Source organism: Homo sapiens, chromosome 19 (assembly GCF_000001405.40).
Source record: "Homo sapiens chromosome 19, GRCh38.p14 Primary Assembly".
NCBI classification, from domain to species: domain Eukaryota; kingdom Metazoa; phylum Chordata; class Mammalia; order Primates; family Hominidae; genus Homo; species Homo sapiens.
In genome coordinates, this window is record NC_000019.10 from 44,556,934 (window position 1) to 44,571,671 (window position 14,738).

The 14,738-nt window shown below is 40.4% G+C and overlaps 1 annotated feature.

Annotated features, from left to right (window-relative positions):
* Positions 10,117 to 10,317: a silencer, noted in NCBI's record as "peak3502 fragment used in MPRA reporter construct". NCBI's record gives its function as "represses an SCP1 promoter by STARR-seq MPRAs in K562 erythroleukemia cells {active_cell/tissue: K562}" and the evidence as "EXISTENCE:reporter gene assay evidence [ECO:0000049][PMID:32103011]".

Below are 14,738 nucleotides of genomic sequence, written 5' to 3' on the forward strand. Positions count from 1 at the left end.
ACAGTAAGAAAACATTATCAAATACCCACATTTGCATTTTTTCTAGACATGGTTACAGACCTAAATCCCTCAGTTGATCAGCTTGAGGGACCAAATAAATCTCTGTTATCGGTATAGCAACAGCACTTACTTGTTTTGTAGCAGTCAGGGCATACCAAAGTAAGATCAAAGAAAAAATAGAATCTCACGAAATATATTTTCTCAAGGTAAACCCTCACCAAATTATAATTGAATGATTAGTCTGGTATAATTTTAGTAGAAAAATTATAGGAAAAAAAAGACAGGACAAAATATGATAATTGAGTTGGCAAAGATCAACTCCTAAGCAGCTAATTTAGTGTTCAATAAAACCCAAAAATGCAGAAGCATGATTTTCCCATTTATAGTATGTTCACATACTATAAATGAGTTATTTTAACCAATTTAGAAGTAAGACCTGGCCAGGCATGGTGGCTTACACCTGTAATCCCATCACTTTGGGCGGCAAGACAGGTGGATTGCTTGAGGCCAGGAGTTCGAGACCAGCCTGGCCGACATGGCCAAACCCCGTCTCTTACTAAAAATATCAAAATTAGCTGGGCGGGGTGGTGCATACCTGTAATTTCACCTCCTCAGAAGGCTGAAGCATGAAAATCATTTGAGCCTGGAGGCAGAGGTTGCAGTGAGCTGAGATTGCACCACTGCACTCCAGCCTAGGCAACAGAGGGAGACTCTCTCAAAAAAAAAAAAATAGGCTGGGCACGGTGGCTCACGCCTGTAATCCCAGCACTTTGAGAGGTCAAGGCGGGTAAGGTGGGTAGATCACAAGGTCAGGAGTTCGAGACCAGCCTGGCCAATATAGTGAAACCCGTCTCTACTAAAAATAAAAAAATCAGTCAGGCATGGTGGTGTGTGCCTGTAATCCCAGCTACTCAGTAGGCTGAGGCAAGAAAATTGCTTGAACCCGGGAGGCGGAGGTTGTAGTGAGCAGAGATCCTGCCACTGCACTCCAGCCTGAGCGACAGAGCAAGACTCTATCTCAAAAAAAAAAAAGGAAGTGAGACATAAGTATTGTATTGTATCATGATAAAGCAATTATTTGGCATTACACCTTAATGAATTTTATCCAGTCAATTTGCCTTTGTAGACACAGAGTGATTCATGTAATATGATATGTAGCATAATCAAGTTTAATCTCTGTAATAATGGTTGTTTATCTGTAGGCTATAGTTGTAAAAGAAGAATAAATAAATAAAGCAATCTATCAATCTTGATCAAACAATGTAGCCCACAGTTGATTCAGATGTTACAATAATGTAGTTGGTACAACTCACTGGGCAGCATATACCATGAGCACTAATGAAAAATAAAAATCATGGCAAGGCGCGATGGCTCATGCCTGTAATCCCAGCACATTGAGAGGCAGAGGTGGGCGGATCACCTGAGGTCAGGAGTTCGAGACCAAGCTGGCCAACATGGCGAAATCCCATCTCTACTAAAAAATACAAAAATTAGCCAGGCACAGTGGCTCATGCCTGTAATCCCAGCTACAGGGGAGGCTGAGGCAGAAGAGTCGCTTGAACCCAGGAGGCAAAGGCTGCAGTGAGCCGAGATCATGCCACTGCACTCCAGCCTGGGCAGTAGATTGAGACTCTGTCTCAAAAAAAAAAATGAAAAATGAAAAATGAAAAGCAACTGCATGAAAGTCAATTCAGTTTATGCCTAGCCTTCATTAAAGACCAACAAGAAAAAATAACAAAAAAAAACAAAAAATAAATGTTTCAGTGAAAATCTCATTTGGGCTCTCATCTACAGGACAGAGTGTAGATGGAAAATACATGTTTGATGTAATAACTGATCTTGTGATATACCTTTATGATTGTAAATAGTTGATATATTAAGAAATAATAGTAAAATAAATGTTATTTTAAGCCTCCAAATTTGTGATAATTTTGTTAGGCAGCAATAAATAATAAAAAAAAAAACTAATACACCCAAACAGAATAAACCCAAATGAATCTATGCCAGGGCATATCATAATCAAACTGTTGAAAGCTAAAGATGAATTTAAAATCTTGAAAGCAGTGAAAGACAAATGATACCTTACCCATAGGAAGAAAACAATTTCAATGAAAGTAGATTTCTCATCAGAAACTATGAAAGCCAGAAGAAAGAAGCATAACATTTTATAAGTTCTAAAGAACTGTCAACCCAGGATTCTATAACCAGCGAATGAAAAAGATGTACATTTATATGTATACATATAAAATATGTATATATGTATATAAATGTATATACATTTATAGGTATACATATAAAATATGTATATATGTATATAAATGTATATACATTTATAGGTATACATATAAAATATGTATATATGTATATAAATGTATATACATTTATAGGTATACATATAAAATATGTATATATGTATATAAATGTATATACAATTATATGTATATATTATGTATATAACCATTCAAGAATGAGAGAGATGTACATTTTAAAATAATTAAAAGAGGCCGGGTGGGGTGACTCACTCCTATAATCCCAGCACTTTGAGAGGCTGAGGCGGACAGATCACTTGCGGTCAGGAGTTCGAGACCAGCCTGGCCAACATGGCAAAACCCCATCTCTACTAAAAACACAAAAATTAGGCAGGCTTGGAGGCTGAGGCAGGAGAATTGCCTGAACCCAGGAGGCGGAAGTGCAGTGAGCCAAGATTGCGCCACTGCACTCCAGCCTGGGTAACAGAGCAAGACTCCATCTCAAAAAATAAATAAAATAAAATAAAATAACTAAAAGAGTTATTGAATTGTAATTGCATTTGGATTGGAAATTGGATCTAATTGTAAATTGGATCCAAGAGTAACTGGATTGTTTGTAATACAAATGATAAATGCTTAAGGGAATGAGCACCCCGTTCTCTATGATGTGATTATTCCACATTGCATGCCTGTATCGAAACATCTCATGTACCCCATAAATATATACACCTACTATGTACCCATAAAAATTAAAATAAACAAATTTTTAAAAATAAAATAAAAAAGAATTCAGGAAAAACCAACACATTCTCAGATGAAGGAAAACTAAGAGAATTTGTTGCCAGCAGACCTACCCTAAAAGAATAGAGAAAGGGAGTTATTAAAACAGAAAAGAATGGTAAAAGAAGGGAATCTGGAACATCAGGAGAAAAGAAAGATAGAGAAGGAAGAAAAGAAAAGGAGAAAGAGGGAGGGAGGAGAGGACAGAAAAAGGGGAGAGGGGAGAGGAAGGGGTTTTCTTTTTCTTCTTGAGTTTTCTTTCCCTTTTTTTCCAGAGGATCTTCACACCTCTAACTGAATTTTCTAAATTACATTTAATAGTTAAAGTAAAAATTGTAACACTGTCTGATGTGATTCTCAATGTATGTAAAGAAAATATTAAGACAATAATATTATAAATGATTATAAATGGGAGAAGATAATGGTATTAAAGGGAGGTAAGGTTTTTTTTGTTTTTTTTTTTTTTTAACTGTGTCTTGTTCTGTTGCCCAGGCTGGAGTGCAGTGGCACGATCTCAGCTCACTACAACCTCTGCTTCCCGGGTTCAAGAGATTCTCGTGCCTCAGCCTCCTAAGTAGCTGGGACTACAGGCACGCGCCACCATGCCCGGCTAATTTTTGTATTTTTAGTAGAGACGGGGTTTCACCATGTTGGCCAGGCTGGTCTGGAACCTCCTGGCCTCAAGTGGTCTGCCTGCCTCGATCTCCCAATGTGCTGGGATTACACGTGTGAGCCACTGTGCTGGGCCTGGCCCTGAGGTAAGGCTTCTATATTTTGTTTGAACTGGTAAAACGTCAAAACCAATAGGCTGTGATAAACTCTATACATAATACCTACAGCCATTGCTAAGAAGTCTATACAAAGAGACACACTCAAAAACATTACAGATAAATAAAGTGAGATTCTAAAAAAATATTGATGTGACCCATAAGTAGGCAAGAAAAAGGAAACAGAAAAACAAAAAACCAAAAAACAAACAGAAGACAAAAAAAATGAATTGGCAGACCTAAGTCCTAACATAACAATAATTACATTAAATTTAATAGCCTAAATATACCAATTAATGGATTTATATTTACAGACTGTATTTTTTAAATGAGCCAGTTAAATGATAGCCACAACAAAATTACTTCAAATATTATCATACACACAGGTTGAAAAGGATTAAAAAAAAGATATACTATGTCAATATTAATAAAAGGAAAGCAAGAATGGTTATAGTAGCATCAGATAAAGAACAGAGCAAAGATAATTAGCAGGGACGGAAAGGAACATAATGATAGTAGAGTCGCTCCACCAAAAAGATGTGGCAATCTCAAATGTGTACACACCAAACAACGGAACTACAGAATATGCGAAGGAAAAATGGACAGAACTGAAATGAGAAACGCATAAACTGACAATTACAGTTTGGGACATCAGCACTACTCTCAACTATTGTTAGAACAACTAGACAAAAAAAAAAATCAGCAAGGATAGAAGAATTCAACACCACCAGCAATCAAGGTCTAATTGACATTGACAGGACATTTAATCCAACAACAGCGAAATACACATTCTTTCCAAACATTCACAGAACATATACTAAAATAAACCATGTCCTGGGCTAGAGAACCTCAACAAACTTGAAAGAATTGAAACCATACAGGGTGTTCTCTGACCACAGTGGAATCCAACTAGAAATAACTAACAGGAAGATAAGAACAAAATCTCCAGATACTTGGAAGCTGAACACTACACTTTTAACTAAGCCACAGGTCAAAGAAAAAGTCTTGGGGGAAAACAAAAATACATTGAACTGAATGAAAAAGAAAACACAACACATCAAATTTTGTAGGATGGAACTAAAGCGGTGCTTCGAGAGAAGTTTATAGCACAAAAATGCTTACAGTAGACAAGAGGGAAAGTATCAAATTGGTCATCTAAGCTCCCAACTCAAGATATTAGGGAAAAAAAAAAAAAAGAAACCCAAATCAAACAGAAGAAATAAAATAGCAAATGGCAAAAATCAATAAAATTGAATAGAGAAAACCAACAAAGCAAAAAGTTGGTTCTGGCCAGTCACGGTGGCTCACACCTGTAGTCCCAGCTAGTCGGGAGGCCGAGGCAGGAGGATCACTTAAGCCTGGGAAACTGAGGCTGCAGTGAGCAGTGATTGCACCACTGCACTCCAGCCTGGGTAACAGAGTAAGATCCCCTCCCCCTAAAAAAGATGGTTCTTACAAACAATCAAAATTGATGAACCTCTAGCATTATTGAGAAAGAAAATAATGAAATTACTTATCACCAATTTATCAGAAAATTAATCACCAGTGTCAGGAAAGAAACAGTGGATATCATTACAAGCCTTGCTGACAACAAAATGATAATAAAGGATTGAAACAAAACAGCTCTACACACATAAATCTGATAATTTACATAAAAAGAACTAATTCCTCAAAAAAGCAAAAACTACTGTGTCCGGACTTGGTGGGTTCTTGGTCTCACTGACTTCAAGAATGTAGCCGTGGACCCTCGAGGTGAGTGTTTCGGCTCTTAAGGTGGCGTGTCTGGAGTCTGTCCCTTCTGATGTTCAGATGTGTTCGGAGTTTCTTCCTTCTGGTGGGTTCCTGGTCTCGCTGGCTCAGGAGTAAAGCTGCAGACCTTCGCAGTGAGTGTTACAGCTCTTAAGGCAGCGCGTCTGGAGTTGTTCGTTCCTCTCGGTGGGCTCGTGGTCTGGCTTGGCTCAGGAGTGAAGCTGCAGATCTTCGCAGTGAGTGTTACAGCTCATAAAAGCAGCGTAGACCCAGAGAGTGAGCAGTAGCAAGATTTATTGCAAAGAGCGAAAGAACAAAACTTCCACAGCGTGGAAGAGGACCCGAGCGGGTTGCCTATGCTGGTTCAGGCAGCCTGCTTTTATTCTCTTATCTGGCCCCACCCACCTCCTGCTGATTGGTAGAACCGAGTGGCCTGTTTTGTCAGGGCGCTGATTGGTGCGTTTACAATCCCTGAGCTAGATACAAAGGTTCTCCACGTCCCCATCAGATTAGTTAGATACAGAGTTTCCACACACAGGTTCTCCAAGGCCCCACCAGAGCAGCTAGATACAGAGTGTCAATTGGTGCACTCACAAACCTTGAGCTAAACACAGGATGCTGATTGGTGTATTTACAATCCCTGAGCTAGATATAAAGACTCTCCACGTCCCCACCAGACTCAGGAGCCCAGCTGTCTTCACCTAGTGGATCTCGCACCGGGGCTGCAGGTGGAGCTGCCTGCCAGTCCTGCGCCGTGCGCTCGCATTCCTCAGCCCTTGGGTGGTCGATGGGACTGGGCGCCGTGGAGCAGGGGGTGGCGCTCCTCAGGGAGGCTCAGGCACGGCGGGCTGTAGGTCCCGAGCCCTGCCCCGTGGGAAGGCAGCCAAGGCCCGGAGAGAAATCGAGCGCAGCGCCGGTGGGCCAGCACTGCTGGGGGACTCAGTACACCCTCCGCAGCCACTGGCCCGGGTGCTAAGTCCCCCATTGCCCGGGGCCAGCAGGGCTGGCTGGCTGCTCCGAGTGCGGGGCCCACCAAGCCCACGCCCATCCGGAACTCCAGCTGGCCCGCAAGTGCCGCACACAGCCCCGGTTCCCGCTCGTGTCTCTCCCTCCACACCTCCCTGCAAGCTGAGGGAGTGGGCTCCGGCCTTGGCCAGCCCAGAAAGGGGCTCCCACCCTGCGGTGGGGGACTGAAGGGCTCCTCAAATGCCACCAAAGTGGGAGCCCAGGCAGGGGAGGTGCCGAGAGCAAGCGAGGGCTCTGAGGACTGCCAGCACGCTGTCACCTCTCACTACCACCACTAACCCAATATGAAATAGAGAATTTGAATAACCCTACAACTATTAAGGAAACTGGTTTTTAAATTTTAAAACTCCTGAAAAGGAAATCTCCAGGCCTCAATAGTTTCACATGAGAACTACCACTTGATCCAGCAATCCCACTACTGGGTATCTACCAAGAGGAAAAGAAGTCATTATACAAAGAAGACACTTGCACACACATGTTTATAGCAGCACAATTCCCAATTGCAAAAATGTGGAACCAACCCAAATACTCATCAATCAATGAGTAGATAAGGAAACTGTGGTATATATATATATATATATATATATGTATATATATGTATATATATATGTATATATATACGTGTATATATATATATATATATGATGGAATAATACAGAGTCATAAAAAATGAATTAATGGCATTCACAGCAACCTGGGTGGGATTGAAGACTATTATTCTAAGTGAAATAACTCAGGAATGGAAAACCAAACATCGTATGTCCTCATTGATATGTGGGAACTAAGCTATGAGGATGCAAAGGCATAAGAATGATACAATGGACTTTGGGGACTCAGGTGGGGGAAAGGTAGGAAGCGGATGAGGGATAAAATACTACAAAGTGGGTTCAGTATATACTGCTCCGGTAATGAGTCCACCAAAATCTCACAAATCACCACTAAAGAACTTATACTACCTATTCCCCAAAAACCTATGGAAATAAAAAAAGATAAGAAAAAAAAGTAAATGTGAAAATATAAGCTACAGACTAGGAGAAAATATTTGCAAATCATAAATCTAATAAAGGACACCTATCTAGACTATACAAATAACTCTCAAAACTCAACAGTAAAAACAAAACCAAACAACAATCTATATTTTTCAGTGAAATCTCTCTTCACGGTACCGCACAGTCATGATTACTGTAGCTATATAATAAATTTGGAAATCAGGGAGAGTGCTACCTCCTACTTTATTCTTTTTTTTTCAGAATTGTTTTAGTTATTCAGTTCTTTTCCTTTGCACACAATCTTCTCTTCATCGAAGAGCGATTTCACTGAAAAAGATACACAAATGGCAGATAGGCACAGGAAAAGATATTTAATCAACATCATTAGCCATTAGGGAAAAGCAAAGTAAGACCACGATAAAACATTAACTACATACCTATTACAACGACTAAACTTGAAAACAATCACAGCGACGATATGAAACACTGCCAAGGATGCAGGGACACTGCATCTCCCACACCTTGCTGATGGAGATGTAAAATGGTGCAGCCACTTGGGAAAATAGTTTGGCAATTTCTTTAAAACACTAAACAGATACTTAGCATATGACTCAGCCATTGCACCCCTGAGCATTATCCCAAAGAAATAGAAACTCAAGCCAGGCACGGTGGCTCACGCCTGAAATCCCAGCACTTTGGGAGGCCGAGGCAGCAGATCACCTGAGGTCAGGAGTTCAAGACCAGCCTGGCCAACATGACAAAACCCTGTCTCTACTAAAAATACAAAAAATTAGCCAGGCATAGTCGCAGGTGCCTGTAATGTCAGCTACTCAGGAGACTGAGGCAGGAGAATCAGTTGAATCCGGGAGGCGGAGGTTGCAGTGAGTAGAGATCGCACCACTGCACTCCAGCTTGGGTGACTGAGTGAGACTCTGTTTCAAAAAAAAAAAAAAAAAAAAAACAGATCCACACAAAATCCTATAGGTGAATGTTTATAGTAGCTTTATTTGTAATACCCAAAAAACAAAAACAGCCAAGTTGTCTTTCAATAACTGAATGATTAAACAAACTATAGTACGTGGAAAAGTGTTCAGTAATAAAAAGGAACGAACTATTGATATATAACTACATTTGACCCTTGAACAACTTGGGCTTTAACTGTGCAAGTCCACTTATAAGCAGATTTTCTTCTGTCTCTACCACCCCTGAAACAACAAAACTAACCCCTCCTCTTCCTCCTTTTCCTCTGCATGAAAACAACGGGGATGAAGACCTTCATAATGATCCACTTCCACCTAATGAATAGTAAACATATGTTCTCTTTCTTATGAGTTTAATACATTTTTCTAGCTTACTTTATTGTAAGAATACAGTATATAATACACAGAACATGCAAAATATGGCTTTCATTCAACAATAAGCTATTAGTAATTAAATTTTGGGGGACTCAAAAATTAATTTCAACTGGGCGGAGTTCAGCACCCCTAATCCCCGCATTGTGCAAGTGCCAACTGTATTTGAATGGATTTCAAGGGCATTATGCATGAGTAAAATATTGAAGTCGCTCGCAAAAGGTCACATACTGTACAATCCCATTTATATAACATCCTTGAAATGACAAAATTATAGAGATGGAAAACAACTTGGTGGCTGACAGGGGTTAGGGATGGGGGAAAAGAGGGAAGTGGGCGTGACTATGAAAAGGTGGCACCAGGGAGAACTTTGTGGCAATAAAACCGTTTTGTAACTTGATTGCAGTGGCGTTTACATGATCATGTGATCAATTGAAACTACACACACACACATTGCACCAGTATCATTCCTGATTGTGATGTTGAACTATAGTTATATAAGATGTATTCATTGGGGGAAACTGGATGAAAGGCACATGGGATCTCTCCATGATACAATTTCTTTGCAGCTTCCTGTGAATCTATAATTACTTCAAATTTTAAAAAGAAAAGCAAAATTAAAGATTTTACAAATTAAATCTGAAAGGAAATTAAGTGTTAATAATTGCCTCTTTGGGAGGTGGAAGTACATGAAATTTTTCTGTTTTGCATGCAAGTATTTTCTATAATGAACATATATGTTACTTTGTTTTTATCACAGTAATTTAAAAAAAAAAATCTTCCTCAAACCATGGTCATGAGAGGTCTACTCAGCTGCTTACATGTTCCCCTCCAGTGACGGCACAGGGGATGGCCTCTCCTAAAACAACCCTAGGAGGATGGCCTCACAGATGAGGGAAGTGGGGAGAGCAGAGCATCTCCTGGCTAGGGACCTCTGAGTTATGCAGCAAGCATCAACCATTTGCAACAAAAAAAACCATGAGAAACATACACTTATTCACAATGCTGGTAGGAATGCAAAATTGTATCATTGCAATGCAGTGGGGATGGGGAATATCTAACAATTTATGTATGGATCTGCTTTTCAAACCAGTTACCCTATTTCTAGGGAGTTCACCTGAAGAAGCACCTCTGGCAATATGAAAACACATGTCCACGAAGTTATTCATTACAACACTGTTTATCACTGCAGAATATTGGAAACCACCTACATGCCCAAGCATAGGAGAGTAGCTGAATGAATTATGGTACCTCTACACAATGGAATGCTGCTGTAACAAAAGAATGAGGAAGATCTCCATGGCCTGATAAGAAGTGCTTTGCAGGACATTCTGTCAAGCGAAAAAAGCAAATTGCAGAAGAGCATATAGAGTATGCTATCGGTTGTGTAAGAAGGAATGATGAAACATACACATAGCTATTTATCTTTACACACACACACGAAGGATAAACCAGGAAGAAATGAAGTTGGTTACCCGTAAGAGGTGAGAGGAAAATAAGGTGGAAGGAATATAGGAGGGAGTGACCCTTCTCTGAAATGTCTTTATAACGAGGTTTGACTTTTGAAAGCACGTTAATATTCTAAATGTTCAAAAAATAAAATTAAACAGGAAAACAAACTAAAGCAAATTAACCTAATTGTATTTCAAATGAATATTATAATTATACTGAAGGGGAAGGAAAGAAGGAAGGAAGGAAATGTGAGAGGGAGGGAAACAGGGAAGGAGGGGGTAATAAATGAAAGGACTAACTCTAGTAATTTACGTATATTTTACTATATACCCATAGTCTTTAACAGGGTTGGAGGATGGGAACTGCAAACAAATCCTGAATTCATTTTAGTAGAACTGTTTTTTGTAGTGGTATGGCTGATGCAATTGTAAGACTATGTTAAATATATTATACTGTTATAATGTATATAGATATATCAAATTATTATATTAAGCAAATGAGTAAATGTGTTAATGTTGGGAGCCAGTATTCTCACTGTGGAAGAAGGGACATGCAAATGGGAAAAGCAAAAAAGAACCTGGAATTAGGAGTGGTGGTGTAAATGCATGATTTCTAAAATATGCATAATTATGTGCATATATGGGCATATGTGTATGTCTGTGTGTACACATGCACACATTTTTCTAGTTCTATCCACTGAAAGAGCCTAAAAGCAAAGACACACAAGTAGCACCTAGCTCCTAGATCTTTGGTCTCTAATACCATTCCATGCTAAAAGGAAGCAGTGCTCTCCAGAGAAATGACTTATTCCCGGAGAGGAGCAGAATATGTACAACGTGAGCCCTGAATATCTTATTATGCCAGACACAGAGTGTTTTTAAAAAATCAGCATGTCCCAAGGGAGATGAAAAGGGCTCCCACTAGTCAACTTCAGAATAATTTAAGCACCCAAATATTAAGTACAGTAACAAGTTATAAACCATCAGAAAATAGAAATTAATGAGTCCTTACTGATAATAGATAATAGGTAGATGATAGATAGATAATAGGTAGATGATGATAGATAGTTTTAATTTTTAAATGGGGAAGTATATTCTTTAAAAATGGCAACACCATTAAAGATAAAGAAAGGCTGTAGAGGCCAGGCATGGTGGCTCACGCCTGTAATCCCAGCACTTTGGGAGGCTGAGGCGGGAGGATCTCTTGAGGCCAGTAGATTGAAACCAACCTGGGAAATATAGCGAGACCACATGTCAATGAAAAATAAAATTTTGGCTGGGCACGGTGGCTCATGCCTGTAATCCCAACACTTTGGGAGGCTGAGGCAGGTGGATCACCTGAGGTCGGGAGTTCAAGACCGGCCTGGCCAATGTGGCAAAACCCCGTCTCTACTAAAACTACAAAAATTAGCTGGACATGGTGGTGGGCACCCGCAATCCCAGCTACTCAGGAGGCTTAGGCAGGAGAATCTCTTGAACCCAGGAGGCAGAGGTTGCAGTGAGCCAAGATAGCACCACTACACTCCAGCCTGGGTGACAGAGCGAGACTCCATCTCAAAAAAAAAAAATTATTTGAAAAAAGAAAACTTTTACAAATTAGATGAGTGTAGTGGTGCATGCCTGTGGTCCCAGCTACTCAGGAGGCTGAGGCAGGAGGATCTCTTGAGCTCAGAAGTTGGAGGCTGCAATGTGCTGTGATCGCACCACTGCACTCCAGCCCAGCTGACAGAGCAAGACCCTATCTCTAAATTTTAAAAAAAAATTAAAAAGATGAATTTTAAACAAGAAAGACTGTGGGAAAGTTTCAGATTAAAAGAGAGTAAAGAGGACACAAAATCCAGTATCTGACTAGAGACTGGATCCTGTACTGGATGGGGGAATAGGCTATAAAGGATTTTATTGTGCCAATTGACAAAGTTGGAATATGGATGATAGAGCACATAAAAGTATTTTATCCCTGGACATTTATGAAGGTGATAACTGTGGGTATGTAAGAGAATATCTCTGTTCTTAGGAAATACATACTGATGTATTTAGGGGTAAAGAGCCATGAAGTTTGTAATTTACTATCAAATGGAGGGAAGGAAGGAGAGAGGGAGGGGGAGACAGAAGGGGGAGAGAGAGCACAAATGATAAAGTAAATGAGAACAAATATTAACACTAGGTGAATCTGAATAAAGGGCATACGGGTGTTCTTTGTACTCTTTATTTTTGCAACTTTTTTAAATTTGAAATTATTTCCAAATAAACTGTTTCAAAATGTTATTATAGAAAAAACAAAGTAGCCCTCAGAAAATGTTTTTCCCCTAAACTCCCATCAACCACTTGGGAGTGCTCACTTCCCACACCCTTGGCAACATTGATTAGAATCACACTTGAAAAGTTTTAACAGGCTTATGAGTAAGGGACTGCCTTTATTACTAGTGAGATTGAACATCTTTTCATATCATGATTGACCTTTTATATTTCTTCCTCTGCAAACTGATTATCCAAATCTTTCTCCTGTTTTTTTCTATTGAAGTATTTTTTCTTATTGATTTGTAGAAACTCTTTATATATTGTATATATTATACAAGGATTTTATGTGATAATTACTTAAAAGGATTAGCACAGGGAAGGATACAGAATAATTACTCAGAAGAAGGATGATTTGAGCATTGTTACTTTAATAATGAGGTGGGGGTGGTAATATTTAAATACTTAAATGTAAATAACACTGTAACGTAGTACTCAAGAACATGGGCTTTAGGGTTAAGCAGAGACTGGGTTCAAATCCCAGCTCCATGGGTGCCACTGGCCATGTTGTTACGCTCCCTGAGCCTCAGCTCCCCTACTCATAAATCTTATCTAAAAGTTGTAATGAAGAGCCCATGACATTCTATCTGCAAAGGATATACAATACTTAGTACACAGAAAGCACTTTCTAAATGCTATTATTAATTTTGCTACCAGAGAGCCTCCCTGCTGCTTCCCAAGGGTAATCCTTACCAGAGACAAGTAGCATAGCATGATGGCAACTGTTTTCACCAGAAGAGATGAGATGCAGGGTGTAGATGCCATTGTCAGATGCACGCACATCAATAATGATCAGGGAGCCATCAGCTCTGCCTGTTTCCCTGCCAGTGTGGGCTGGTCCTAGGGTGTAGCCATGGCTGAAGAAGTTAAAATTGAGGATCCGGGTAACCTGATTGGTGGTTGCTCCTCGGAGCCAATTGTAGGAGATGAGATTCTGAGGGATCCCCTGGACAGACAGGGTGACGTTGCCCCCTCGACGGCCCAGGGAGGGATGGATGTGATCGTCAGCTGAGCAGACACCTGCTTCTTGCAGAGGCTCAGGAAGAAGGCAAAGGGAGGAAGCAAAGAGCACTATCACAGAGGCCACTTAGCAGCATTCGACAGTAGACTCAGCCACTGCTAGAGTCTCACTCATCGGAGTTAAACTGTGGGAGTGGGAAGAGCATGTGCAAAGGCCCTGAGGCAGGAGGAAGATCATTGTTTTTGAGGGAAAAGCAGGGAAGCCAGTGTGGTTGGAGTTGAGTAAGTGAAAATGAAAGAGGTAAGAGATAAAGTCAGAGAGGTAAGAGAGACAGATCACACTTACAACTGGCATTGACATTTTTGGCAAGACAATTATTCATCTTGTGGATCCGTCCTGTGCATTGCAAGGAGTTTTTAACACCACTTGCTCTCCCTACTACAACAGCAGCAGCTCCTTCCAGGCATTGAGACAACCAGAGAACATTCCCACACATTGTCAAATACCCGCTAGGGGGCAGTATTAGCTCTGGTTTGGAACATCATGCAGGCTCTTGCAGATAATTATACGAGTTTTTTTGTTTTTGTTTTAGTTTTTGTTTTTGTTTTTTTGCCACAGAGTCTCGCTCTGTCACTCAGGCTGGAGTGTGCCAGCTTGATCATGGTTTACTGCAACCTCCGCCTCCCGGGTTCAAGTGATTGTCGTGCCTCAGCCTCCCGAGTAGCTGGGACCACAGGCATGCGCCACCATGCCCAGCTAATGTTTATATTTTTTTTGTAGAGTCAGGGTTTTGCCACGTTGACCAGACTGGTCTTGAACTCCTGGGCTCAAGTGATCCTTGTGCCTTGGCTTCCCAAAGTGCTGGGATTATAGGCATGAGCCACCGCACCAGCCTGTAAGGACTTTTCGTTGTATTCTGAGGGAGTCAGAGAACCACTGGAGAGTTTTGAGTTAAAGATTAACACGATGTACCTTATATTCTGATCATTCTGGCTGCAGATTGCATTGATTTTGGAGCTCAAGGGTAGAGTTGCAACATTGCTCAGCTCCACGAAGTGAGCTGCCATTCACATTGTAGTTAATGCAAATGCTACTTCCAGCAACTGTGCAGTGCACAAC